The sequence below is a fragment of the Homo sapiens genome, chromosome 11, assembly GCF_000001405.40.
Source record: "Homo sapiens chromosome 11, GRCh38.p14 Primary Assembly".
In the NCBI taxonomy this organism is placed as follows: Eukaryota; Metazoa; Chordata; class Mammalia; order Primates; family Hominidae; genus Homo; species Homo sapiens.
The window spans coordinates 117,265,360-117,293,260 of record NC_000011.10 but is presented as its reverse complement, the minus strand read 5'-3'; the positions used below and the strand labels follow the sequence as shown (position 1 = coordinate 117,293,260).

At 43.3% G+C, this 27,901-nt stretch overlaps 2 protein-coding genes and 1 non-coding gene across 11 annotated transcripts in view, besides 2 other annotated features; 1 reads left to right on the top strand and 2 right to left on the bottom strand.

The window, feature by feature from the left end:
- The window catches only part of BACE1 (beta-secretase 1), a 30,559-nt gene extending 22,996 nt beyond the window's left edge, over window positions 1-7,563 (top strand). For all 7 annotated transcript variants that reach the window (NM_138973.4, NM_138971.4, NM_138972.4 and 4 more), the window contains 5 exons: window positions 73-207; window positions 1,448-1,549; window positions 2,212-2,361; window positions 2,602-2,773; window positions 3,454-7,563. In NM_138973.4, coding sequence (NP_620429.1) covers window positions 73-207; window positions 1,448-1,549; window positions 2,212-2,361; window positions 2,602-2,773; window positions 3,454-3,695 — 801 coding nt within the window. In that variant the 3' untranslated portion in view covers window positions 3,696-7,563. The remainder of the gene's footprint in view (window positions 1-72; window positions 208-1,447; window positions 1,550-2,211; window positions 2,362-2,601; window positions 2,774-3,453) is intronic.
- Window positions 1,091-1,915, bottom strand: BACE1-AS (BACE1 antisense RNA). The gene has a single exon (NR_037803.3).
- Window positions 2,918-4,117: an enhancer, noted in NCBI's record as "BRD4-independent group 4 enhancer chr11:117159860-117161059 (GRCh37/hg19 assembly coordinates)". NCBI's record gives its function as "activates an origin of replication core promoter dependent on BRD2, P300/CBP, MED14 and CDK7 cofactors, and independent of BRD4, by STARR-seq in HCT116 cells {active_cell/tissue: HCT116}" and the evidence as "EXISTENCE:reporter gene assay evidence [ECO:0000049][PMID:35650434]".
- RNF214 (ring finger protein 214) overlaps window positions 6,807-27,901 on the bottom strand; it is a 53,784-nt gene continuing 32,689 nt past the window's right edge. For all 3 annotated transcript variants that reach the window (NM_207343.4, NM_001077239.2, NM_001278249.2), the window contains exons 7-15: window positions 13,257-13,353; window positions 13,002-13,090; window positions 11,857-11,947; window positions 11,563-11,661; window positions 10,991-11,367; window positions 10,725-10,857; window positions 10,411-10,515; window positions 10,051-10,146; window positions 6,807-8,175 (exon numbers count right to left, since the gene is read on the bottom strand). In NM_207343.4, the coding sequence (NP_997226.2) occupies window positions 8,110-8,175; window positions 10,051-10,146; window positions 10,411-10,515; window positions 10,725-10,857; window positions 10,991-11,367; window positions 11,563-11,661; window positions 11,857-11,947; window positions 13,002-13,090; window positions 13,257-13,353 (1,153 nt within the window). In that variant the 3' untranslated portion in view covers window positions 6,807-8,109. The remainder of the gene's footprint in view (window positions 8,176-10,050; window positions 10,147-10,410; window positions 10,516-10,724; window positions 10,858-10,990; window positions 11,368-11,562; window positions 11,662-11,856; window positions 11,948-13,001; window positions 13,091-13,256; window positions 13,354-27,901) is intronic.
- Window positions 23,738-24,284: an enhancer, noted in NCBI's record as "H3K27ac-H3K4me1 hESC enhancer chr11:117139693-117140239 (GRCh37/hg19 assembly coordinates)". NCBI's record gives its function as "activates a minimal SCP1, AML or CMV promoter by ChIP-STARR-seq in primed H9 embryonic stem cells {active_cell/tissue: H9 hESC(primed)}" and the evidence as "EXISTENCE:reporter gene assay evidence [ECO:0000049][PMID:30033119]".

Below are 27,901 nucleotides of genomic sequence, written 5' to 3'. Positions count from 1 at the left end.
ATTGCTTGGTCCTTGGGGGACTCACTCTCCTTCTGTGCCAGGACACGGGTACCTGCCTCTTTTTTTCCCTAGATCATTGGAGGTATCGACCACTCGCTGTACACAGGCAGTCTCTGGTATACACCCATCCGGCGGGAGTGGTATTATGAGGTGATCATTGTGCGGGTGGAGATCAATGGACAGGATCTGAAAATGGACTGCAAGGAGGTAAGAAAACCAAGGGAGAGCCTGGGAACATAAGGGGGTAGGCAGTACAATGTGAAGGAAGACTCTGGTTATCATGTTGGGAGGATGAGGCAGAGGTAATAGGACCTGCAGAAAGGGTTGGAAGTTGAGCCTAGAACAGTCAGGGGCTTAATGGTCACACAGCAGGATCTGCGGTTTGGGGCCTAGGGACTGGTAGTGAAAAAAAAAACATGGAACTAGTTCTGATGTCTGGACTCTAGTCACTGCCTTGCTTCGTAGCCTTGGGCAAGTCTTTTGTGAGACAGGGTGATAGAATGAAGAGTCTTGTCTTTGGAGTCAGGAAGACCCAGATCTGAATCTAGCTCTGATTTGTACTAGCTATGTACCCTTAGGCCAGTTACTATTCTGTGTCTCAGTTTCCTTATCTGCAAAACAGGTAAAAACAACTTTCTCAGAATATCAGAGATAATGTGTAAAGTGTTTATCTCTGTGGTTGGCAGTACTCAATAAAAGGTAACTAAATCATTTATGTCTTCCTTCCCTAGATTCTTATGTATGTTAAATTAGAATAGATATAAATGTACTAAGAAAAGTTAAAAGCGGCCGGGCGTGGCTGTAATCCCAGCACTCTGGGAGGCCAAGGCGGGGGCAGATCATTTGAGGTCAGAAATTCGAGACCAGCCTGGTCAACATGGTGAAACCCCATCTCTACTAAAAATAGCCAGGCGTGGTGGCAGGCACCTGTAGTCCCAGCTACTTGGGAGGCTGAGGCAAAAGAATGGTTTGAATCCAGGAGGCAGAGGTTAGAGTGAGCCGAGATCACGCCACTGTACTCCAGCCTGGGTGACAGAGCTAATACTCCATCTCAAAAAAAAAAAAAAAAAAAAAAAAAAGAAAAGAAAAGTTAAAAGCACTAAACAAGGTATTTTTATTTTCAAGTTTGGAGACTACCTGCCCACCCAAGATTAACAAGAATAAACATTTACCAAGTGCCTTCTCTCTGCTGGGCACGATTCTAAGTGCTTTACATTGCTGATTTATTTAATCCTTACAATAACCCTTTGAGGTAGGTGCTATTTTTATCCTCACTTTAGAGATGAAGGAACTGAGGCACAGAGGTTAACTTGTCCAAGCAGGTACACTTAGGAGGTGCCAAAGCCAAGATGCCAACCCAGCTGGGGCCCCAGCAGTAACCCCCTACTGCCCAGAGCCCAGCATCAAAAACCTTTTGACTCTTTTAACTCTCTCTTTTCCCTCTTAGTACAACTATGACAAGAGCATTGTGGACAGTGGCACCACCAACCTTCGTTTGCCCAAGAAAGTGTTTGAAGCTGCAGTCAAATCCATCAAGGCAGCCTCCTCCGTGAGTGGACTAAGGATGGGGGTAAAAGAGATGGTACAGTGTCAGAGGGAGGCGGTGAGAGTCACATTCTTCAGCAACAGCCAAGATGTCTGCACTTAGACCCTTCTACTCAGAGCTCTTAAAACACTCTTCCCCTAGCCAGGCGTGGTGGCTCACGCCTGTAATCCCAGCACTTTGGGAGGCCAAGGTGGGCAGATCACTAGGTCAGGAGTTCAAGACCAGCCTGACCAACAGGGTGAAATCCCATCTCTACTAAAAGTACAAAAATTAGCTGGGTGTGGTGGCGCACGCCTGTAATCCTAGCTACTCAGGGGGCTGAGACAGGAGAATCACTTTAACTCAGGACGGTGGAGGTTGCGGTGAGCCATGATTGCGCCACTGCACTCCAGCCTGGGCAACAGAGTGAGACACTGTTTCAAAAAAAAAAAAAAAACTCTTCCCCTTTATGGCTGTCACTTTGCTCATCACACAATCCCCCGGTACAAAAGTTTGACATCACACTCCCTCTCTCTTCCTGTAATCCTCTGGTTGGTTTACCCCTCCCCACTTTAGATATTTCACTGGAAAAGCAAATGAAGGGCCCAGTTAATGTATCTGAACATGGGAGGGGCGAGATGATAAAGAGGCTTTTCCTCATTGTTATCCCCTTCTTGCCAACACAGACGGAGAAGTTCCCTGATGGTTTCTGGCTAGGAGAGCAGCTGGTGTGCTGGCAAGCAGGCACCACCCCTTGGAACATTTTCCCAGTCATCTCACTCTACCTAATGGGTGAGGTTACCAACCAGTCCTTCCGCATCACCATCCTTCCGCAGGTATGTCCCAGCCTGAGTCAGGGGGATCTCTCTTAAAAGTACACACTGGGAGACAGTGAGCAGGTATGGCTTGCCAGAACTTGGAAGACAAAACAGATGAGTAGTGTCCAGCAGTAAAGGGGTCTCAGAAAACCCGTTAGAGCTCAGGGATGGTAAAGGGAAGGGCATAGATGCCTACAAGGCAGAGATGGGGTGAAGGAGAGTGAGGAAGACACTCACCCTGTGATTGCTTACCCCTAGCAATACCTGCGGCCAGTGGAAGATGTGGCCACGTCCCAAGACGACTGTTACAAGTTTGCCATCTCACAGTCATCCACGGGCACTGTTATGGGAGCTGTTATCATGGAGGGCTTCTACGTTGTCTTTGATCGGGCCCGAAAACGAATTGGCTTTGCTGTCAGCGCTTGCCATGGTGAGAGTGCCAGGGCTGAGGGTTTGGGGTCAGTCTCTCCATATTTTCCTTGTCAAACAACAGTTAGTATACCTGGGTCCCTGTCAGTTTAGGGGAGGGTAGTAACAGTTGCCTCAAACCCAAGTCAACAGTTGTGCAAAAGCTAGTGTCAATGCTCGTCCTTTTTTTGTACTGCCTGCCATAATGACCACTGCCTGGATTGGTAACCTCTGTTGGAAACCCAGAGCAGCAAGAGTTACCTGGGTACCTTGGGAAGCTCTTGATGCAAGGGTAGCAGACTGAGTCTATAGTGACCCTGTCAGCTGCCACATGGTGAGGCTGAATGCTACTTCAGAAAGGTGGCAGGGTTTTGCAGTTGGATTTCAGCAGCAGAAAGTTAAGTTTACTAGATTTGGCTTTTGGTCAAGGGGGTGGCTTTTGGTCAACTCAGAACTACTGACTTTTAGTTATCACTCCTACCAGCTGGGTATACAAGGAAGGGCTGCTGCTCCCAGTGACTTGGGAAGGGAGACAGGCCTCTACCTGGTGCTGGCTTCCCAGCCTGCTCCTAAATATCTCCTGGGAAGGAGATTAGATAACTTCTGCATGGGCTAATTTCAAGGCCTCACTATCAGGAAGTTCTTTTTGTTAACTCCTCTATGACAATGAGAGCTGTCCATTCACATTTGCCCTCTCCCCAGTGCACGATGAGTTCAGGACGGCAGCGGTGGAAGGCCCTTTTGTCACCTTGGACATGGAAGACTGTGGCTACAACATTCCACAGACAGATGAGTCAACCCTCATGACCATAGCCTATGTCATGGCTGCCATCTGCGCCCTCTTCATGCTGCCACTCTGCCTCATGGTGTGTCAGTGGCGCTGCCTCCGCTGCCTGCGCCAGCAGCATGATGACTTTGCTGATGACATCTCCCTGCTGAAGTGAGGAGGCCCATGGGCAGAAGATAGAGATTCCCCTGGACCACACCTCCGTGGTTCACTTTGGTCACAAGTAGGAGACACAGATGGCACCTGTGGCCAGAGCACCTCAGGACCCTCCCCACCCACCAAATGCCTCTGCCTTGATGGAGAAGGAAAAGGCTGGCAAGGTGGGTTCCAGGGACTGTACCTGTAGGAAACAGAAAAGAGAAGAAAGAAGCACTCTGCTGGCGGGAATACTCTTGGTCACCTCAAATTTAAGTCGGGAAATTCTGCTGCTTGAAACTTCAGCCCTGAACCTTTGTCCACCATTCCTTTAAATTCTCCAACCCAAAGTATTCTTCTTTTCTTAGTTTCAGAAGTACTGGCATCACACGCAGGTTACCTTGGCGTGTGTCCCTGTGGTACCCTGGCAGAGAAGAGACCAAGCTTGTTTCCCTGCTGGCCAAAGTCAGTAGGAGAGGATGCACAGTTTGCTATTTGCTTTAGAGACAGGGACTGTATAAACAAGCCTAACATTGGTGCAAAGATTGCCTCTTGAATTAAAAAAAAAAACTAGATTGACTATTTATACAAATGGGGGCGGCTGGAAAGAGGAGAAGGAGAGGGAGTACAAAGACAGGGAATAGTGGGATCAAAGCTAGGAAAGGCAGAAACACAACCACTCACCAGTCCTAGTTTTAGACCTCATCTCCAAGATAGCATCCCATCTCAGAAGATGGGTGTTGTTTTCAATGTTTTCTTTTCTGTGGTTGCAGCCTGACCAAAAGTGAGATGGGAAGGGCTTATCTAGCCAAAGAGCTCTTTTTTAGCTCTCTTAAATGAAGTGCCCACTAAGAAGTTCCACTTAACACATGAATTTCTGCCATATTAATTTCATTGTCTCTATCTGAACCACCCTTTATTCTACATATGATAGGCAGCACTGAAATATCCTAACCCCCTAAGCTCCAGGTGCCCTGTGGGAGAGCAACTGGACTATAGCAGGGCTGGGCTCTGTCTTCCTGGTCATAGGCTCACTCTTTCCCCCAAATCTTCCTCTGGAGCTTTGCAGCCAAGGTGCTAAAAGGAATAGGTAGGAGACCTCTTCTATCTAATCCTTAAAAGCATAATGTTGAACATTCATTCAACAGCTGATGCCCTATAACCCCTGCCTGGATTTCTTCCTATTAGGCTATAAGAAGTAGCAAGATCTTTACATAATTCAGAGTGGTTTCATTGCCTTCCTACCCTCTCTAATGGCCCCTCCATTTATTTGACTAAAGCATCACACAGTGGCACTAGCATTATACCAAGAGTATGAGAAATACAGTGCTTTATGGCTCTAACATTACTGCCTTCAGTATCAAGGCTGCCTGGAGAAAGGATGGCAGCCTCAGGGCTTCCTTATGTCCTCCACCACAAGAGCTCCTTGATGAAGGTCATCTTTTTCCCCTATCCTGTTCTTCCCCTCCCCGCTCCTAATGGTACGTGGGTACCCAGGCTGGTTCTTGGGCTAGGTAGTGGGGACCAAGTTCATTACCTCCCTATCAGTTCTAGCATAGTAAACTACGGTACCAGTGTTAGTGGGAAGAGCTGGGTTTTCCTAGTATACCCACTGCATCCTACTCCTACCTGGTCAACCCGCTGCTTCCAGGTATGGGACCTGCTAAGTGTGGAATTACCTGATAAGGGAGAGGGAAATACAAGGAGGGCCTCTGGTGTTCCTGGCCTCAGCCAGCTGCCCACAAGCCATAAACCAATAAAACAAGAATACTGAGTCAGTTTTTTATCTGGGTTCTCTTCATTCCCACTGCACTTGGTGCTGCTTTGGCTGACTGGGAACACCCCATAACTACAGAGTCTGACAGGAAGACTGGAGACTGTCCACTTCTAGCTCGGAACTTACTGTGTAAATAAACTTTCAGAACTGCTACCATGAAGTGAAAATGCCACATTTTGCTTTATAATTTCTACCCATGTTGGGAAAAACTGGCTTTTTCCCAGCCCTTTCCAGGGCATAAAACTCAACCCCTTCGATAGCAAGTCCCATCAGCCTATTATTTTTTTAAAGAAAACTTGCACTTGTTTTTCTTTTTACAGTTACTTCCTTCCTGCCCCAAAATTATAAACTCTAAGTGTAAAAAAAAGTCTTAACAACAGCTTCTTGCTTGTAAAAATATGTATTATACATCTGTATTTTTAAATTCTGCTCCTGAAAAATGACTGTCCCATTCTCCACTCACTGCATTTGGGGCCTTTCCCATTGGTCTGCATGTCTTTTATCATTGCAGGCCAGTGGACAGAGGGAGAAGGGAGAACAGGGGTCGCCAACACTTGTGTTGCTTTCTGACTGATCCTGAACAAGAAAGAGTAACACTGAGGCGCTCGCTCCCATGCACAACTCTCCAAAACACTTATCCTCCTGCAAGAGTGGGCTTTCCAGGGTCTTTACTGGGAAGCAGTTAAGCCCCCTCCTCACCCCTTCCTTTTTTCTTTCTTTACTCCTTTGGCTTCAAAGGATTTTGGAAAAGAAACAATATGCTTTACACTCATTTTCAATTTCTAAATTTGCAGGGGATACTGAAAAATACGGCAGGTGGCCTAAGGCTGCTGTAAAGTTGAGGGGAGAGGAAATCTTAAGATTACAAGATAAAAAACGAATCCCCTAAACAAAAAGAACAATAGAACTGGTCTTCCATTTTGCCACCTTTCCTGTTCATGACAGCTACTAACCTGGAGACAGTAACATTTCATTAACCAAAGAAAGTGGGTCACCTGACCTCTGAAGAGCTGAGTACTCAGGCCACTCCAATCACCCTACAAGATGCCAAGGAGGTCCCAGGAAGTCCAGCTCCTTAAACTGACGCTAGTCAATAAACCTGGGCAAGTGAGGCAAGAGAAATGAGGAAGAATCCATCTGTGAGGTGATAGGCAAGGATGAAAGACAAAGAAGGAAAAGAGTATCAAAGGCAGAAAGGAGATCATTTAGTTGGGTCTGAAAGGAAAAGTCTTTGCTATCCGACATGTACTGCTAGTACCTGTAAGCATTTTAGGTCCCAGAATGGAAAAAAAAATCAGCTATTGGTAATATAATAATGTCCTTTCCCTGGAGTCAGTTTTTTTAAAAAGTTAACTCTTAGTTTTTACTTGTTTAATTCTAAAAGAGAAGGGAGCTGAGGCCATTCCCTGTAGGAGTAAAGATAAAAGGATAGGAAAAGATTCAAAGCTCTAATAGAGTCACAGCTTTCCCAGGTATAAAACCTAAAATTAAGAAGTACAATAAGCAGAGGTGGAAAATGATCTAGTTCCTGATAGCTACCCACAGAGCAAGTGATTTATAAATTTGAAATCCAAACTACTTTCTTAATATCACTTTGGTCTCCATTTTTCCCAGGACAGGAAATATGTCCCCCCCTAACTTTCTTGCTTCAAAAATTAAAATCCAGCATCCCAAGATCATTCTACAAGTAATTTTGCACAGACATCTCCTCACCCCAGTGCCTGTCTGGAGCTCACCCAAGGTCACCAAACAACTTGGTTGTGAACCAACTGCCTTAACCTTCTGGGGGAGGGGGATTAGCTAGACTAGGAGACCAGAAGTGAATGGGAAAGGGTGAGGACTTCACAATGTTGGCCTGTCAGAGCTTGATTAGAAGCCAAGACAGTGGCAGCAAAGGAAGACTTGGCCCAGGAAAAACCTGTGGGTTGTGCTAATTTCTGTCCAGAAAATAGGGTGGACAGAAGCTTGTGGGGTACATGGAGGAATTGGGACCTGGTTATGTTGTTATTCTCGGACTGTGAATTTTGGTGATGTAAAACAGAATATTCTGTAAACCTAATGTCTGTATAAATAATGAGCGTTAACACAGTAAAATATTCAATAAGAAGTCAAACTACTAGGGTTACTTTTTTTTCCTCAATCAGAGTCTCATTTTATCCATTTGGAGTAGAGTGGCTAAAACAATACTGAGGCTTCTGGAGGCTTTCGGTAAGCAAGGCATCTGGTTGGACAGTGGGTGAGCACCAGGCTTTAAATCTGCATACATGAGCCTTAAGGAAATGGACTAGAGGCTGAGCCAAACCAAAGCAGAATGGCCTTAGAGCAACAGCAGGTTCCTAGGTGGTTTTTATATTGTATTTGAAAACAGCCCTGGGCAGGGATATCATAATTTCAAGGCCAAACTAAACATCATCTTCCCTACAATCTGCATCCCCCAAAGGAATTGCAAGATGAGGGGGAACAGACTGTTTCTGCATAATATACATAGTTTCATTTACGAACATTGGAATACAGACTTTCTATACACACATTACCTATATAATAAAAATGTACATGGCATGAGTATATGTCACTGTATAAATATAGAGTTTTAGAAATCTTGAACCCGCGCTTCCTGTTCACATCAGTTTCTCTTCTTCTTCCTCCCCAGTCAGGTCCGTCATTTAAGAGTTGGACAAAAGGGACAAGTGTCATTTGTGTTGGTCTGGGCCCAGAATTTGATACACTGGAAAGAAAGAAAGACACACCTCAGGTTTATCTGGAAAAACAAAGGGAAGGAAGGAGAGAATGCCAATAAGGTTCAACAAGGCCTAAGTCAGAAAAGTTCTTACACTGAGGTACAAGAGGGGCTTTTTTTGTTGCTGTTCTTTTTTCTTTTTTTGAGACCCAGTCTCACTCTATTGCCCAGGCTGGCGTGCAGTGGTGTGATCTCAGCTCACTGGAACCTCTGCTTCCTGGGTTCAAGCTATTCTCCTGCCTCAGCCTCCCGAGTAGCTGGGATTACAGGCGTTCACCACCGTTCCTGGCTAATTTTTGTATTTTTAGTAGGGATGGGGTTTCACTTTGTTGGCCAGGCTGGTCTCGAACTCCTGGCCTCAAGTGATCTGCCTGCCTCAGCCTCCCAAAGTGCTGGGATTACAGGTGTGAGCCACCGCGCCTGGCCCCAAGAAGGGCTATTCAATGGCTCTTACCCTAAAAGAATCCTCAGTGCAAGTGAACCTGTCCTTTTTATGAGGAACATTAACAATGAGCTGTTGAAAATGTTCATGATGCTGCTTTTTGTTGAATGTCTAGTGTGGCTTGCTCCCCCTTAGGATCCATTTTGCCTGAGATGAGCATCTCTGTTCTAAGACCTGACACCCTCAAATCTTATTCAGGAATTTTTCTTACCAAGAATTTAGATGTAAATTCAGTTTCTACCTCTTGGAAAAGCAAAATGAACAAAACAAAATGTTGTTAAGAGGGAATCATCCCTGCTACTAAGAGACTTAACTCTGCTGGCAACATAAAAAAATAGGAATGACTTGTCAGTCTGTGAAGATAATCTCTAACCGGCAAGCCCTCCAAGCTGTTCTGTTAATGGAGTTACTAATCTCATACTCAGGTCCTCCATTCCATTCCTCTCATCTAGGCAAAGTCTTCTGACAATGCTACATTTTGAACAATAGTTAGATATGTGGGATTATCACTCATTGTCAATTTTCCAAGAAAGTTATTTAGTGCGCAGTATGAATTGCTTATCCAGTCCCCTGAAGGGAATGGGGTAAAAAGCTGAGAGATCCTAACTGCAGTATTCTGAATTCTGCTAATGTTTAAGCCACAATTTACTGAAAACCTTATGATTAGACATTAGAGACCAGGTGCACTGGCTCACGCATGTAATCCCAGCACTTTGGGAGGCTGAGGCAGGAGGATCACCTGAGCCCAGGAGTTTGGGACCAGCCTGGGCAACATAACAAGACCTTCTCTCTACTAAAAAAGAAAAAAAAAATTAGCTGGGCATGATGGCATGTGCCTGTAATCTCAGCTACTCAAGAGACTGAAGCACCTTGAGCCTAGGGGATTGAGGCTATAGTGAGCTATAATCGTGCCACTGCATTCCAGTCTGGGCAACAGAAAGAAACCCTATCTCAAAAAACAAAACAAAAAAAAGGCTGGGCACGGTGGCTCACGCCTGTACTCCCAACACTTTGGGAGGCTGAGATGGGCGGATCACAAGGTCAGGAGTTCGAGACCAGCCTGGCCAATATGGTGAAACCCTGTCTCTACTAAAAATACAAAAATTAGCCAGGCATGTTGGCAGGCGCCTGTAGTCCCAGCTACTCAGGAGGCTGAGGCAGGAGAATCACTTGAACCTGAGAGGTGGAGGTTGCGGTGAGCTGAGATCACACCACTGCACTCCAGCCTGGGCAACAGAGCGAGACTCTGTCTAAAACAAAACAAAACAAAACAAAAAAGATATTAATGATGAGCACCAACACAGTAAAAGAAAAGTTATTTTAGCTGTCAGGGAAAAAAAAGAGTAGAAAATGAGAAAGAAAAATTATTTTAGCTGTCAGAAGAAAAAGTGTAGAAAATGAGGAAGGTCTGTAACACCTACCTCCTTGTGCAATACATGGGTACACGCCATTGGATGCAGCTCACTGGGCTGGACGAGTTTCTGGCACATTAGACATAGCTTACAGGTGGCTGGAGCCTGTAGAACAGAGGCGGCATGATCAAAAGGTAAGGAACCTCTGGGTCTCCTTGCCTTTTATGCCCATAATTCCATGCAGCAAAAAGATTTATATCAAAAGAAACAAAAATCCAAATATAGATTCTTGCCTAAAATATTTGCATTTTCCCAGTAGGGCTGCAAATAACCCAACTGATGGTTTCTTCCTGCACTCCACCTGTAAACCCACTCCTTCCTCACCTCCAGCTTCTCCATATCACAGTGTTCAAAGAAAAAGAGTCTTACATGTGAAGACCTTCCAGGATATGAAACTTGGGCAGAAGGCAAGAACATTGGGGTACTGATTTGGGCCAGTGGAGCAGGGAACAAGGCCCGGATGCGACCAAGTGGCTGTAGGTAGAAACATTGTCAGAGTAAGGGAAGAGAGTCTGAGTAACAGAGCATATCACAAAAATCACTTATTTCCCAGTCCAGGAAAGGAAAAAAGCAGACTAGCTACCTCTGACTGGAATGCTTCTTCCCACCCCACATTTTTCTGAAATCTACCTCTTCCCCAGCCCTCAACATGCCTAAGTTCTCTCCCAAGTGGCTTTTCTCACCTGAGTACTTGCTGCCACCCGCTCATGTTCTGCCAGTCGTGCAGCAACCAACTGGATAAGTTCCTCCATGGTCAGGCCTGCCATGGTGGTACGTGCTGTCTTGATCTGCTGAAGAATGTTGGTCATCTGGGCCCTGAGGAAAAAAAATGTTGAGGGAGAGAAAGCCTATGCTATACCCACGGGGAACACCCATGTAACCTCCTCTGTTTTAACCCATAAGCATTTCTCTGATAGAGACATCTGAATCAGTCCTTGAAGGTACTTACTTATTGCACTGTGGGAACCGGGTCAGCAGCTTCTCCAGGATCTTCTCCAGTTTGTCTACTGGTTGGGGCCGGGGAGTTTCAGCAGAAGCCTTAACACCGCCCAAGCCTGGGGGAGGTGGGATGGAGGCGGCAGGGGGCATGTGTGGACCGTGGGGGCTGACAAGGGAACCCAAGCCAGGGCTATTTCTGCCATGGGAGCCAGGAAGGGGTGAGGAAGGCTGGCTGGGCTGGGAAAGGGCAGGGTTCAGGATTGGGAAAGACAAGGAGCGGGGATCTGCACTGGGCATAACCATGGGCATTGTGACCTGCCCAATGGAGAAGGGCATCCGAGGAGCCAGAGAGGGACTGGGTTGAAACACCTGAAGCATGAAGTCTGTCTGCAGAGGAGAAGAGGTAGAGGACGAGAGAGAAAGGAAGAAAAAGAAAGTTTAGGAAACTGGAGAAGACATCAATGAACAACTCTTGCACTGAATAGGGATGGTCCCAATATCTTCATAAAAAGAACACGCAGAAGACTCTGCTGCTGCTACCAACACAGAAAGGTGAACTTCCCCCCAAAGCCACTCTCTTACCTCTGATGGGGGTGGAGGTAAAGTGGGAGTAGGGATTTGAGGAAGGCTGCTCAGCTTGGCTCCGTTCCTCACTAACTGGATATGACTATTAAATTGGTCCTAAAAAAAAAAAGGATTATTTTTACTGCTGAACTGACTCAGGCTCTCTAGAAAGACAGCACCATCCATTATCAGGAAAACAAAAGGAATAGTAGGATAGGCCCCAAATGGCAATGCAAAAGGCTACCTCCCAATTGCTGGAAGTGTTAAGCACAGACTAACACTGACTGAATGATGACTCATAGATACACTTACACGAACATTCTTTTTCATTATCCGAACTCCATTCAGTCTCGTCTCCCACTCCTGTTTGGAACGAACTGTCTCCAGTGTTGGGGGAGTTGACCTTTCAAGAAACCAACAGGAATTTACAGATTTAAAGAAAGCCCTGCTAGGAACAGTGACTCACGCCTGTAATCCCAGCACAAGAGGCCAAGGCGGGCAGATCACTTGAGCTCAGGAGTTCTAGACCAGCCTGGGCAATGTGGCTAAACCCTGTCTCTTAAAAAAATGCAAAATTAGCCAGGTGTGGTGGCTCACGCCTATAGTCCCAGCTACTTGGCAGGCTGAGGTAGGAGGATGGCTTGTGCTCAGGAGATGGAGGTTGCAGTGAGCCAAGATGGCACCACTGCACAACAGAGGGAGACCCTGTCATTAAAAAAAAAAAAAAAAAAAAAGCCCTATTCCTAATTCTCTGAGATAGCAAAAGCAAAATAGTAGCTGGCTAATTGCCGTTGAGAAGAGGTGGGAGCAGGTGCAGGAGAAGCCCAAGATTCGAATTCCTTTGCCTCACTTTAACTCCAGTATCTTTTAAGTAATTGAGAAAGAGAACCAACAACAGAGAGAGGGTTCTTGTCTGCCTGAAAATGCCACAAGGGTCCTCCAAGTTCCATGGCAGAAAGAAAATAAATGACTACATAGGAAATGAATCTCCAAAGATCATTGTTATGCTTTATAGGTTAACAGATGCTGGTTATTTTTTATTTTTTAGAGACAGGGTCTCACTGTCACCTAGGCTGGAGTGCAGTGATGCCATCAAAGCTCACTGCAGCCTCGGCCTCCTGGGCACAAGTGATCCTCCTGCCTCGACCTCCCAAAGTGCTGGGATTACAGGAGCATGCTATTACGTCTGGCTTTAACAGATAGTGTTTATCCAAATGGAAACAAAACATTAAAAAATGCAAAACTATAAAACTGTAGCAGGGAAGAGTTACAGTACAGAACTTTAGAATGTGAGAGGAAAAACCACTGAGCAATTGCTACTGCAGACAGAGATAGCCTTACAATTCCTGTGCAGATAGAATAAGTGCCAGACTAGCTGGCCTAGGAATGAAAAAACCTAAACAAACAAACAAACAAACTGCAAAACAATTAAAGCTCTAGAACGGAAAGGTACTTACTTGAGGTAAGTAAGGTGCAATTCTGCCTCTTTTTCTGCTTCTTCTAGTTTCAGTACCAGTAACTCTTTCCGGCTCTCTAGTGATAAGATCTAAGGAAGCCACACACATATAAATACTTTATTAATTTTACATACACAAAGGTACCTCTAGGTAGTGAAAACAAATGCTTACTGGCTCTCCTATTACAATGCCAAAAGTAGATACCATCTGGAAGCCTGAAACTAAGACTTTCAAGATATCAGCTCCTCTTCTCACCTCTGCCTTCCAGGCCCGTTCAGTCTCTTCCATAATGTTCCTATTTATTTCGCCATCCTGATTCTTGAGTCTATCCAGTTCCATTTCCCACACCTCTCTGTAAGATAAGAAACCAAGAACAAGACTAAGGAAGAAAGATAAGCTTGTTGAGAGATACCAGGGCAAAAGTACAACCCAAAATTGGTCAGCCAAGTATGTTACAGGAAGTCTTACTCTAAGTATTAACTATACTTATTTTTCTTTCTTCTTTATTCTTTGCTAATCAAAAGAGAGCTGGAGTATAAGTATCAAATATAGATACAGACAAATAATGTTTACAGTGGTCTGCAGTTGCATAATGGCCCTATATTTGAAAGTAAAAACGTTGTGACCGGGCGTGGTGGCTGACGCCTGTAATCCCAGCACTTTGGAAGTCCAAGATGGGCAGATCACTTGAAATCAGGAGTTTGAGACCAGTCTGGCCAGCGTGGTGAAACCCCATCTCTACTAAAAATACAAAAATTAGCTGGGCGTGATGGCGCACGCCTGTCGCCTAGTCCCAGCTACTCAGAAGGGTGAGGCAAGATAATTGCTTGAACCTGGGAGGCGCAGGTTGCAGTGAGCCGAGATTGCACCACTGCACTCCAGCCTAGGCTACAAAGCGAGACTCTGTCTCAAAAAAAAAAAAAAAAAAAAAAAAAAGTTTGTATCTCCACTTGCTAAAATAAAGTTACCTACAGCAGGAAAAAGACTGCATCTTAGAACAAAAGCCCTCCATTGAAGGCAGAACATTCTTCTACGTTCAAGAGGATTCAAAACCATTATGGCATTCTGCATTCTTATTTCCCAACATGTCTTTTAGTATGGGTCCTGAAGAATGAATGCAGGACCAAACACAGGGGTCCACTTTTTTGTTTGTTTGTTTTTTATAGACAGGGTCTTACTCTGTTGCCCAGACCAGAGTACAGTGCTATGACCTTGGTTCACTGCAGCCTCAACCCCCTGGGCTCAAGCAATCTTCTTGCCTTAGCCTCCCAAGTTGCTGGGACTACGGACACAAGCCAGCACGCCTGGCTGATGCTTACTTATTATTTTTTGTAGAGACAGGGGTCTCACTTTGTTCTACAGGCTGTTCTCAAACTCCTGGGATCAAGTGATCCTGCCACCTCGGCCTCCCACAGTGCTGGGATTACAGGCTACTGTGCCTGGCCAGAGGCCTACTTAATATTCATCCTTAATGCAGCAAATCACTAATTCGCTACTAAGCACAGTGATACAAGTTTATTAATTTTCAAGTTTTCCTAGCTATAGTAAATATGCTTCAAAAGGAAAAAAATGTTCTCTTCATACCTCAGGACTTCTCATTTTCTTTGGTTTCCTCCCTCCTTACATGTTTTCCCCCCACTCAGCATGACAGTGACCAACTCTCCTGGTTTGCCCAGTACTGAGGGATTTCCCAGGATGGATGACTTTCAGTGCTAAAACTGGGATGGGTGATCACCCTACTCAGAACTATAGAGGCCGTTAAGCAACACAGCCAGCAAAGGAATTTCCTTATATTACATTTGATTGTGGTAAAGTTTTATAGCTGGAAGCCTGGATTACCAAGATCAGTGGACAGAATAGGATGAAAATACTTAAATTATCTCCCCGACATTTTAGAAAAGTAAAAATAAAATAAGAAGAAAAGCTTGGGAAGAGTTACATGTTTTGTTTTGTTTTGAGACAGAGTCTCACTCTGTCACCCAGGCTAGAGTGCAATGGCGTGATCTTGGCTCATGGCATCCTCCGCCTCCTGGGTTCAAGCGATTCTCCTGCCTCAGCCTCCCGAGTAGGTGGTACTACAGGCACGTGCCACCACACCCACCTAATTTTTTGTATTTTTAGTAGAGACAGGGTTTCACCATGTTAGCCAGGATGGTCTCGATCTCCTGACCTCGTGATCCACCCGCCTCGGCCTCCCAAAGTGCTGGGATTACAGGTGTGAGCCTCTGCGCCCGGCCAAGAGTTACATCTTAAGAGAAATGTTCCCACTTTTCTTTTTTTTTTTTTGAGAGGGAGTCTCTATCTGTTGCCCAGTCTGGAGTGCAGTGACACAATCTTGGCTCACTGCAGCCTCCACCTCTCAGGTTCAAATGATTCTCCTGCCTCAGCCTCCCGAGTAGCTGGATTACAGGCACCCACCACCATGCGCAGCTAATTTTTTTTGTATTTTTAGTAGAGATGGGGTTTTGCCATGTTGGCCAGGCTGGTCTCGAACTCCTAACCTCAGGTGATCCACCCACCTCAGCCTCCCAAAGTGCTGGGATTATAGGCGTGAGCCACCACGCCTGGCCCCCACTTTTCTTCAGTGAGAGAAACTTTTATTCCCCTTCTGTTTTTGTAGTAACCTTACATATACAAAAGAGAGCAATCTACTTAACAGAAGTTTATGAGGCCCTTTCCTCTCACATATTCTTGCTTTTGACCCAATTCTCCACATATCCCTGGTTCTCTATTTCATGTATAGGTAGAGAGGGTGTGTGTGTGTGTGTGTTACACACTTATTCAATCTCTGACATCAGCCCTCTACTGACAAGGTATATTCATCTATTAGAAATGAGAAGTAGGTGGGCATTTTCTGCCTTAATCTCCAGGTATTGCTTCCCCAAATTAACTTCCTAGCAGAGAACACATTATCTAACAATTTTTTTTTAAGGCTGTCACCCAAGCTGGGGTACACAGGCGGGATCTCGGCTCACTGCAACCTCCACCCCCCAGGTTCAGGCAATTCTCCTGCCTTAGCCTCCCAAGTAGCTGGGACTACAGATGCGTACCACCACATCTGGCTAATTTTTGTATTTTTAGTAGAAACAGGGTTTTGCCATGTTGGTCAGGGTGGTCTTGAACTCCTGACCTCAGGTGATCCACCAGCCTCAGCCTCCCAAAGTGCTGGAATTACAAGTGTGAGCCACTATACCCAGCCTAATAATTCTTTAGACAAAGATTTTATAGGCAGCTGTGTTTTCTTGCTACAACACATATTCCCTCAGTTCCAAAATATACAAAATATATGAAGAGTCAGAATGCTCTTACCATAAAAATATGTGAAATACATTACAGAGTCAATCCATCTAGCCTACTATTCACTCTGACAATCGGATAATTGTAAGAAAACATGACAGTTGCCTTCTGTGACTGATGTTATCCTTGAAGATTATAGATGCTCACTGAACATCTCTTTCATTAAACACATTGTCAACTACAAATATAAACTTATATTAGAAAAATCCTCTTATGTCAATGGAAACATTCCACATATTCACAAACAAAAAATCTTTTCCTTTGGGTTTTTTGCCACATTCACCTCACTGGGATCTAACAAAAGGAACTACATGCAACAATAGCAAAAATGGTTAAGAAATTATTTTCTTATTTTCTTTTTTTTAGAGAGAGGGTTTCACTGTATTGTCCAGGCTGGAGTACACTGGCATGATCATAACTCACTGTAACCTTGAACTCCTGAACTCCCACCTCAAATTCCTGAGTAACTAGGACTATAAGCATGTATCATCATGCCCAGCAAATTTTTTAATTTTTTGAGAGAAAGAGTCCCACTATATTGCCCAAGCTGGTCTGGAACTCCTGGACTCAAGTGATCTTCCTGAACTGGCCTCCCAAAGCTCTGGGATTACAAGCATGAGCCACTGTGCCCGGCCTTGTTCCAGTTCTGAGGGGGAATGCTTTCAGCTTTTCTCTCTTCAGTATGATGGTGGCTGTGAGTTTGTCATATATGGCTTTTATTATTTTGAGGTATGTTCCTTCTGTGCCTAATTTGTTGAGGGTTTTTTTTACCACAAAGGGATACAGGATTTTATCAAATGCTTTTTCTAAATCTATTGAAATGATCATATGGTTTTTAATTCGGTTTATGTGGTGAATCACATTTATTGACTTGTGTATGCTGAGCCATCCTTGCCTCACTGGGATGAAGCCCACTCGATTGTGCTGAATTATCTTTTTGATATGCTGTTCAATTTGGTTTTGCTAGTACTTTGTTGAGGACTTTTGCATCTATGTTCATCAGGGATACTGGTCTGCAGTTTTCTTTTTTTGTTGTGTCCTTTCCTGGCTTTGGTATCAGGGTGAGACTGGCTTTGTAGAATGAGTTAGAGAGGATTCCTTCCTTCTTGATCTTCTGGAATAGTTCCAGTAGGATTGGTATCAGTTCTTTGAATGTCTGGTAGAATTTGGCTGTGAATCCATCTGGACCTGGGATGTCTTGGTTGGGAGATTTTTTAAATTACTGATTCAATCAAACTACTTGCTATTGGTCTGTTCAAGATTTCTATTTCTTCCTGGTTCAAGCTTGGGGGGTTGTGTGTTTCCAGGAATTTATCCAGTTCATCTAGGTTTTCTGGTTTGTATACATATATGTGTTCACAGCAGTCTCAGATGATCTTTTCTATTTCCGTGGTATCAGTTATGGTATCTCTATTTTCATTTTTGACTAAGTTTATTTGAATCCTCTCACAGCTAATCTACCTAATGGTCTATTATTTTTGCTTATCGTTTCAAAGAAACAACTTTTAATTTTATTGATCCTTTGTATTTTTTGGTTTCAATTTTGTTTAGTTCTGTTCTTTGTTATTTCTTTTCTTCTGCTAGCTTTGGGTTTGGTTTCTTCCTGTTTTTTTAGTTCCTTGAGGTGTGATATTATTAGACTGTCAATTTGTGACCTGTCTTTTTGATGAAGGCATTTGGCACTATAAACTTCCCTCTTAGTATTGCTTTTGCTGTATCTGAGATTTTGATAACTTCTGTCACCGTTATCAATCATTTTTAAAAAATTTTAATTTCTATCTTGATTTCATTGTTAACTCAAAGATCATTCAGGACAGGTTGTTTAATTTCTAATTTCTATAGGTTTGAGAGTTCCTCTTCAAACTGATTTCTAGTTTTATACTGCTAGGGTCTGAGAAAACACTTAATATTATTTCTATTTTAAAAAATATTAAGACTTGTTTTGTAGCCTATCATATGGCCTATCTTGAAAAATGTGCCACTAGGCCAGGTGCAGTGGCTCACACCTGTAATCTCAGTTGTTTCTGGAGGCTGAGGTGGGTGGATCACTTGAGGTCAGGAGTTCAAGACCAGCCTGGCCAACATGGCAAAACCCCGTCTCTACAAAAAAAAAAAATTTACAAAAATTAGCCAGACATCATGGCGCCCATCTGTGTTCTACTTGGGAGGCTAAGGCAGAAGAACTGCTTGAACCCGGGAAGCGGAGGTTGCAGTGAGCTGAGATTGTGCCATTGCACTCTGGCCTGGGCAACAAGAGTAAAACTCTGTCTCAAAAAAAAAAAAAAAAGAGCCATGGCTGGGCACGGTCGCTCACGCCTGTAATCCCAGAACTTTGGGAGGCCAAGGTGGGCAGATAACCTAAGGTCAGGAGTTCGAGACTAGCCTGGCCCAACAGGGTGAAACCTCGTCTCTACTAAAAATACAAAAAAAAAATTAGCCGAGTGTGGTAGTGGGCACCTGTAATCCCAGCTACTCAGGAGGCTGAGGCAGGAGAACTTCTTGAACCCAGGAGGCGGAGGTTACAGTGAGCCAAGATTGTGCCATTGCACTCCAGCCTGGGCAACAAGAGCAAGTCTCCATCTCAAAAAAAAAAAAAAAAAAAAAAAGAAGTCATTTGTTTTCCCAGTACTAGGGGCTTTCTCCTCTCTCCCCTTCATCTAGTAAGATAGCATATTGGCCCCAAATTCTAACTAACTACTCCTTTGAGTTACCCACCACTGAGTTCTTCCATGTGTATGCACATTGCACATGTAAATAAACTGTTTTTCCCTCCTGTTAATCTGTTATTTTGAAACTGTCCCTATAAACTGTATGAAATTCATCGGGGAAGAAGAGGGGGGAGAAACGAAAATAAACGAGGCTTGCAGCACATGCAGTGTTTATCATGAGGTCAGCTTGCTCTCTGACTAGCTACTTCACCAGTGTTTTGCGCCTGCTGCCTCAGAATCACATAGACCCTGCTACGAGATTAAAGTTCCCCTTAAGTGTTCTATAGACAACATGAACATTATAAAACATTAAGTTTTCCCTTTAAGATATTCTTTCAGATCCTGCATAGCAGTGAAATTATTGACATCAGCCTGTCTGAAGGACCCCACTGACGCCAGTTGGTCTGAAGGATCCCAGAGGAGCTGACTCACCAAAGAATGCAGTTTCCACATCTTGATGATTTCATCCCCCGTATCCCAACCAATCAACGACCTCAATTTTCCCGCCCCTTACCTTCCACAATCCCCTTAAAACTTAAAATACCAGCCCATAACTCCTCAGGGGAAATGGATTTGAGGGTCTCCTCCCATGTCCTCACTCAATGCTCTGCAATCATTAAACTCTTTCTCTGCTGCAAACCCTGCTGTTTCAATGTAACTGATCTACTACTGCACAGTGGTCATATAAACTTGTTGGTTGTATAACATTTTGTCAGTTTAATTTTCGGGCCCTAATCTCTGAACATAAGAAGGTAGAGAAAAGGTTTCTCTTCCCCATACAACATACAAAATATCCATTCAAAATTCAAGGTAAACAAATAGATTTTAATGTACTAGTATAAAAAACTTCACAGCTTGCCAGGAATAAAACTAAAATAATAATAATAATAATAAAACAAATTTGAAAATAAAAGCAAAATGTTTATTGATGTGGTTTCAGATCCCACAATGCAACTTAACTTTAAGACACCAACACACCAAGTTTTGGCATAGTATCAAAGATGAATATCCACAATTATCTTTAAAAGCTATTAAAATACTCTTTGCTTTCCAACTACTTATCTGCATATCATCAGATTTTCTTTATATATTTCAACCAAAACAATATATTGCAATCAATTAAATATAGCAGATAAGTAAGCTTCTTCCATGAAAGAGATTTACAAAATGTAAACAATATTATTATTCTAACTAAACTGATCTTTATCTGAAAAATATTTTTCATAGAAAATATGCTATTTAACACATAGGTTTATTATTTTAAAATAAATTAATGCATAAATATTAAATTTTTTCTCAGTTTTAATTTCTGGTTCAGTATATACTGATAGATAAAATCCATATAAACAAAACCTCTTTGGGGTCCTTGTTAATTACTAAGAGTTTAAAAGGGTCCTTAGACTAAAATGTTTCAGCACCTCTAATCTACTATACTCCCATCTCATCTCTACCCACATGGATAATTTTTAGCATCTAGTCATATTCCTTATTTTCTACCCTTTACAACAACCTTTGTGAACTCAATATCCATATTCATGATCCATATGAGACTAAGACCTTGGAGTTCTTCCTCCTCCTAAACTTCATTCCTTGACAATTGCCTACCAGGAAAGCCATTTCTTTCTTTTTAAAAAAAAAAAAAAAATTTTAATTTTACTTTAAGTTCCGGAATACTAGTGCAGAATATGTAGGTTTGTTACATAGGTATACATGTGCCATGGTGGTTTGCTCCACCTATCAACCCGTCATCTAGGTTTTAAGCCCCGCATACATTAGCTATTTGTCCTAATGCTCTCCCTCCTCTTCCTCCCTACCCCCCCAACTGACCCTGGTGTGTGTTGTTCCCCTTTCTGTGGCCATGTGTTCTCACTGTTCAACTCCCACTTATGAGTAAGAACATGCGGTGTTTGGTTTTCTGGCAGCAAAGCCACCCCTTAAACCATATTAACACACGGAAAGTCTACACTGAAAACCTCAAACTTTGGTCCAGGCAAGGTGGCTCAAGGTGGTGGTTGGTGGTTGTTTTTAGAGACAGGGTTTCACTGTGTTACCCAGGCTGGAGTACAGTGGCACAATCGTAAGCTCACTGGAACCTCAAACTCATGGGCTCTAGTGATTCTCCTGCCTCAGCCTCCCAAGTAGCTACAGGCATATACCACCATGCCTGGCTACCAGCACTTTGGAAGGCCAAAGTAGGAGGATCACTTGAGCCCAGGAGTTCAAGACTAGCCTGGGCAACATGGCAAGACCCTCGCCTCTAAGAAAAATAAAAAGATTAACTGGGCACGGTGGTGTGCTCCTGCAGTCCTAGCTACTTGGGAGGCTGAGGTGGGAGGACTGCTTAAGCCCAGGAGGTAGAGGCTACAGTGAGCTATCATCACACTACAGCCTGTATGATGCAGCGAGACCCTGTCTCAAAACAAAATACAACAACAACAAAAAAACACCTCAAACTTTGTTCTGTCATTTTGTGACCACGACCTCCTTTCTAATCACCATTCCAACCCTTCACAAGGAATTAATGAGAACTGATCAACTCCTAGTACACTATCCAGGCCATTAGCTTCATTTCTAGCTCCTTTTCCACTAATGTTTACTACACATACTAGCATGGATATCCTGCAAATACTTCAAATTTAACCTGTCCAGAAGATAATTTAGGACTCTGCTTCTGCCTGAAATGGAGTACCAGGGACAGATTTATCCTGTGGCCCTAAAGAACTAAACAACTGGACAAAACATATGAAACAATGTTTTCAAACACTGGACAATAGGCAGCACAGGACTATGATCATTGAGAAAGGAATACACATGAAAGCAGCCCTACAATTGCTCCAGCTCACTGCCTGGAGGCAGTTTCCAGTCTGCAGCACAGGGACGGCAAATGCAAACAGAGCTGGCATTGTTGCTAAATAAGAGACAAAAACGGGTTCACAGAGGCCAAGGTGGCTAGAATTTTGAGGGCATAATACAAAGAGTAGGAGCTGTCTTCTTGGCCTTGTTAGGGTACAGAAAACGATACCCCAAAATACGATGCTTTGAATTAAAGAAAACTGGCTGGGCGAAGTGACTCACACCTGTAATCCCAGCACTTTGGGAGGCTGAGGCAGGCGGATCACTTGAACACAGGAGTTTGAGACCAGACTGGGCAACATGGCAAAAACCTGTCTCTACTAAAAATACAAAAATTAGCCAAGCGTGGTGGCACATACCTGTAATCCCATCTACTTGGGTGGCTGAGACAGGAGAATCACTTGAGCCCAAAAGGCAGGGGCTGCTACAGTGAGCCAAGATCATGCCACTGCACTCTAGCCTGGGGGACAGAGCCACATTCTGTCTCAAAAAAAAGAAAAAAGAAAACTGAGGCAAGATGTGGTGGCTCACACCTGTAATCCCAACACTTTGTGAGGCACAGGCAGGAGGACTGCTTGAGTCCAGGCATTTGAGTTGAGACCAGCCTGCACAACACAGTGAGACCCTGTCTCTACAAAAAATAAAAATAAATTAGGCTGGGTGAGGTGGCTCATGCCTGTAATCCCAGCACTTTGGGAGGCCAAGGCGGGTGGATCACCTGAGGTCAGGAGTTCAAGACCAGCCTGACCAACATGGCAAAACCCTGTCTGTACTAAAAATACAAAAATTAGCCGGGTGTGGTAGTAGGCACCTGTAGTCCCAGCTACCGGGGGGGTGGGGGAGTGGGGGGCTAAGGCAGACAGAACTGCTTGAACCCGGGAGGTGGAGGTTGCAGTGAGCCCACATCGTGCCACTGCACTCCAGCCTGGGTGACAGACAGAGACTCCATCTCAAAAAAATTAAAATAAGTAAATAAATTAGAGTGGTGTGGTGGCACATGCTTGTAGGCCCAGCTACTTGGGAGGCAAAGGTGGAAGGATCATCGCAGCCCAGGAGGTCAAGGCTGCAGTCAGCCGTGATCGTGCTACTATACTGCAGCCTGGACAACAGAGCAACTGAGTAAGACCCTGACTCAAAAAAAAAAAAAAAAAAAAAAAAAAGAAAAGAAAAGAAAAGAAAATTGAAAAGCCTCAGAAATAAGCCTCAGAACCAAGGTCTATCTCCAACCTTCCCCCAAGCCCATCTCTCTGGTCCTCTTTCCAGAAGCACCAAGAGGGATTATCTTTGGAATTTCCTTATCTAAGAAAATTCTTATCTCTGCAAAAGAAATGCAACTGTCTTAAGATCCCCCACCTAGGAATCTCACCAAACAACAATGAAAGATTCACTACCAGAGAAGAGAAGAGACTGGAAGTCATCAACACGTCCAGGTAAGACTTTTCATTTATAGATGGTCCCTGACTTATGATGAGGTTACATCCGAATAAACCCATTGTAAATTGATTGGGTAAGTTGATTTTTGACTCATGATAGTTTCAACTTATGATGACATTTTCTGGACATAGCCCCATAGTAAGTCAAGGAGTACACAAAATGTGTATTGTTTTCCTAGTATCATAAAGTGGAAAAATCGTAAGTCAAACCATTGTAAGTTAGGGACATCTGTATGCTTCTGAGGACAGTTCAGACAGATTACCTGGGAAACAACAGGCATAAGACAACCTTTGTTAGGCCAAGCACAGTGGCTCCAGTGGCTCACGCCTGTAATCCCAGTACTTTGGGAGGCCGAGACGGGTGGATTGCTTGAGCTCAGGTGTTCGAGACCAGCCCGGGCAACATGGCAAAATCCCATCTCTACCCAAAACACAAAAATTAGCAGGGCATGGTGGCACACACCTATTGTCCCAGCTACTCAGGAAGCTAAGGTGGGAGGATCACCTGAGCCTGGGGAGGTCGAGGCTGTGGTGAGCCATGATCATGCCACTGCACTCCAGGCTGGGTGACAGAGTGAGACCTTGTCTCAAAAAAAGAAAGACAACTTTTGTTCACAGTGAAGTTCTGCCCCTCATCTTCCTGCCACCTCCCCCAAAGTTCAAAAGAACCTTGTCCCAGGCCATTGTTGTTTAGGTTCATTCTTTTTTTTATTTTTCATTTTTTATTTTTAGAGATGAATTCTAGCTACATTGCCTAGGCTGGTCTCAAACTCCTGGCCTCAAGCAATCCTCCTCCCTCAGACTCCCAGCTGCTGGGATTACAGGCATGAGCAACTGCACCCAGCATTTGGGCTCATTCTTTTCCCCTGAAAATAATTTACTCTTATAACCTTCATCTCCCCTTCCCTGTTAAAGAAGGGTAGGTATATAAGCATCTGGACTTTATTGGGTTATCATTCTCCTGCAATTCCCCTGTGCTTACTATGCACATGAAATAAATTTTATATGCTTTTTTATCCTATTAATCTACCTTCTGTCAGTTAATTTTTAGTGAACTTTTAGAGGGCAAAGAGAACGCTTTCCCTCTTTAACCCTATAGCCTCTCAAACTTATGAATCATTGCCAAGAAGAAAAAGAGCGCTCTTCCATGTTCATGAATCAGAAGACTCAATATTGTTAAGATGTCAATTGTTCCCAAACTGATCTACAGATTCTATACAAACCCAATCAAATTCCAAGCAAGCTGTTTGTAAAAGCTGATAATTTGATTTCAAAATGTATATGAAAATAAAAAGTCTCTAGAATATTCAAAACAATTTTGGAAAAAACACCAAAGCTGGAAGATGCACTGATTTCAACATTTACTACACAGTTACAAGGAAAGACAAACAGATCGATGTAATGGAATAGACAGTAAAGAAACAGAGCCACACTTATGTGGTATAAGGGAAAATACAATTAAAAATAAGAGATTTAATTCTCCCTGTTGAAAATAATAAAAAAGACTCCCCCCGACCCCAATCTTGTCTTTCAAATTTTCTTTCACTCTCCTTTTCAAATATACGTAAATCTTTCTAAAGGCCAAAAATAGTCACACAAATCAGGAATGTTTCAAGGACCTGGGAGCCATCTTTTTGAAATGCAAACATCAAAGGAGACAGCTTCCCTATCTCCCAGTTCCCAGTAGGAAGGTAAGAGCCTAACTCTGAAGAGCACCTTGCTCCAATTTACAGAACCACCTCCTGTCAGAACAATATGACTAAGAACAGTTTGTTTCTCCTCCAGATAAAGCCAGTACAGGTGGTCTCCCCAATTACCATAATAAAGTTAGGACAAACTATGTGTGACAAATGGTGCTGTCAAGTCCTCTTACTTGAGGACTAACAATTGTTTATCTTAAAAGTGTGTATTGTAAAGGGTTACCTTGGCTTGGCTACCTACATAAGGGAGTAAGATTCTATCAGTCTTTGCAATATCTCAGTGGATTTGTGATGTGCATCACATCTGATTTAATGTTTATTCAATAATAAAACTGTTGTCTTTCTCTACCGCCTTAGTGAGAGGTTTTCTGGGATGCAAGAAGATTTTCATTTTTTAAATTGTATTTCCCCAACAGTGGTCATTTTAGGTTCTACAGAAGTGCCAAGGTACCTCAATGGGGAAAGGATAATCTTTTCAACAAATGGTGCTGGAACATGTATGTATATTTATAACCAAAAAAATAAGCCTTTTTTTTTTTTCAGACATGATCTTGCTCTGTCGCCCAGGCTGGAATGCAGTGGTGCAATTTCAGCTCACTGCAACCTCCACCTCCTGGGCACAAGCAATCCTCCCACCTCAGCCTCCCAAGTAGCTGGGACCACAGGCATGCACTACCACTCTCGGCTAATTTTCTTTTTTTCTTTTTTTTGTATTTTTTGTAGAGACGGGGGTTTCATTATGTTGCCCAAACTGGTCTCCAACTCCTCAGCTCAAGCAATCCACCCACCTCGGCCTCCCAAACTGCTGAAATTACAGGTGTGAGCCATTGCACCTGACCAAGAAAATGAACCCTGACCCTTACTTCATACCAGATTGAAAAATTAACTCAAAATAGATCATAGGTCTAAATGTAAAAGTTAAAACTATTAACCTCCAAGAAGAAGGTGATCTTGGGTTGGGCAAAGATTTCTTGGGCCACAAAATACATGAACCACAACAAAAACTGGCAAGCGAGACTTCATCAAAATTTTGCCTTTTGTGCTTCAAAAGACACTGTTACAAAAATGCAAGGGCAAGCCACAAACCAGAAAAAAATACTGGTGAAATACATATCTGATAAAATCACTTATAGAGAATGTATAAAGAACGCCTATAATTCAATACTCTGGAGGCTGATATGAGAGCACTGTCTGAGCCCAAGAGTTTGAGATCAGCCTGGGCACCACAGCGAGTGCTGGGTTTACACGCATGAGCCACCATGTCTGGCCCCCAACCTTTTTTTTTTTTTTTTTTTGTGAGGCAGGAGAATTGCTTGAACCCAGGAGGCAGAGATTGCCGTGAGCCGAGATCGTGCCATTGCATTCCAGCCTGGGTGAAGAAGTGAGACTCTGTCTCAAAAAAAAAAAAAGAAAAAGAAGAAAGAAAATAAATAAATTATCCAATATGAGAAATAGAACAAAAAAATTGCAAAGAAATGAAGAGAGCCTCAGTGAGCTGTCGGACAATATCAAAAGGTCTAACTCACCTGACAGTGGAGTCCCAGGAGGAAAAAGGGGAATAGGGCAGAAAAAAATATTTGAAAATTATGTCAGAAAATTTCATAAATTTGGCCAGGTGTGGTGACTCACACCTGTAATCCCAGCGCTTTGGGAGGCCAACAAAGGCAAATCACTTGAGCCCAGGAATTCGAGACCAGCCTGGGCGACATGGCAAACCCCTGTCTCTGAACAAAATACAAAAATTAGCCAGACATGGTGGTGCACGCCTGTGGTCCTAGCTACTTGGGAGGCTGAGGCGGGAAGATCGCTTAAGCCTGGAAGGCAGAGGTTGCAGTGAGCCAAGATTGCACCACTGCACTCCAGCCTGGGTGACAGAGTGAGACCCTGTCTCAAATTTAAAAAAAAAGAAAGAAAGAAAATTTCATAAGTTTGGTGAAGGACGTAACTTTACAGATCAAGAAACTCAGAAAACTCCAAACAGGAAAAGTACAAAGAAAACAGCATGTGGGCAAATCAAAGTCAAACTGCTGAAAACTAAAGATAAGTGGAAAATCTTGAAATAAACTACAGAAAAAAAATGACACAATACACAGAGGGAAAGAGAATGTGAATTGTCCATGACTTCTCATTACAAACAGGAGCCATAATTATAATACCTTTAACTGGGTAAATGAATTGTGAAATATTCATACAATAGACTACTGCTCAGCATTAAAAAGGAATAAACTATTGATATCTACCACCTCATGGATGAATCTCAAAAATATACTGAGTAAAAGAAGCCAGATACAAATCTTTAGAAAAGATAAGTGTAATCTATAGTGGCAGACACAGCTCAGTGTTTACTTAGGAACGGCAGAATGAGAGAGCAGTGACTGAAAATGAATACAGGGAGCATTGTAGAGCAATAGGTATGTGCTATACCTTGATTGTGTTGGCGTTTACATGCATAATTAATATGTCAAAACTCATCAAAATGTACACTTAAAATAAGTATGTTTTTGTATACAAATTATATCTCAAATAAGTTGATTTTTTAAAAAAACTAAGAGATGGCCAGGCGCGGTGGCTCACGTCTGTAATCCCAACACTTTGGGAGGCCAAGGCGAGCGGATCACCTGAGGTCAGGAGTTTGAGACCAGCCTGGCCAACATGGTGAAACCCTATTTCTACTAAAAATACCAAAAATCAGCTGGGCATAGTAGTGGGGGCCTGTAATCCCAGCTACTCAGGAGACTGAGACAGGAGAATCGCTTGAACCCTGGAGGCAGAGGTTGCAGTGAGCCCAGATCACGCCATTGCACTCCAGCCTGGGCAACAAGAATGAAACTCTGTCTCAAAAAAAGAAAAAAAAACCAAAACAACTAAGAGATAATTCTAAGTTTCTACAATTATGACTCTAAAAAATT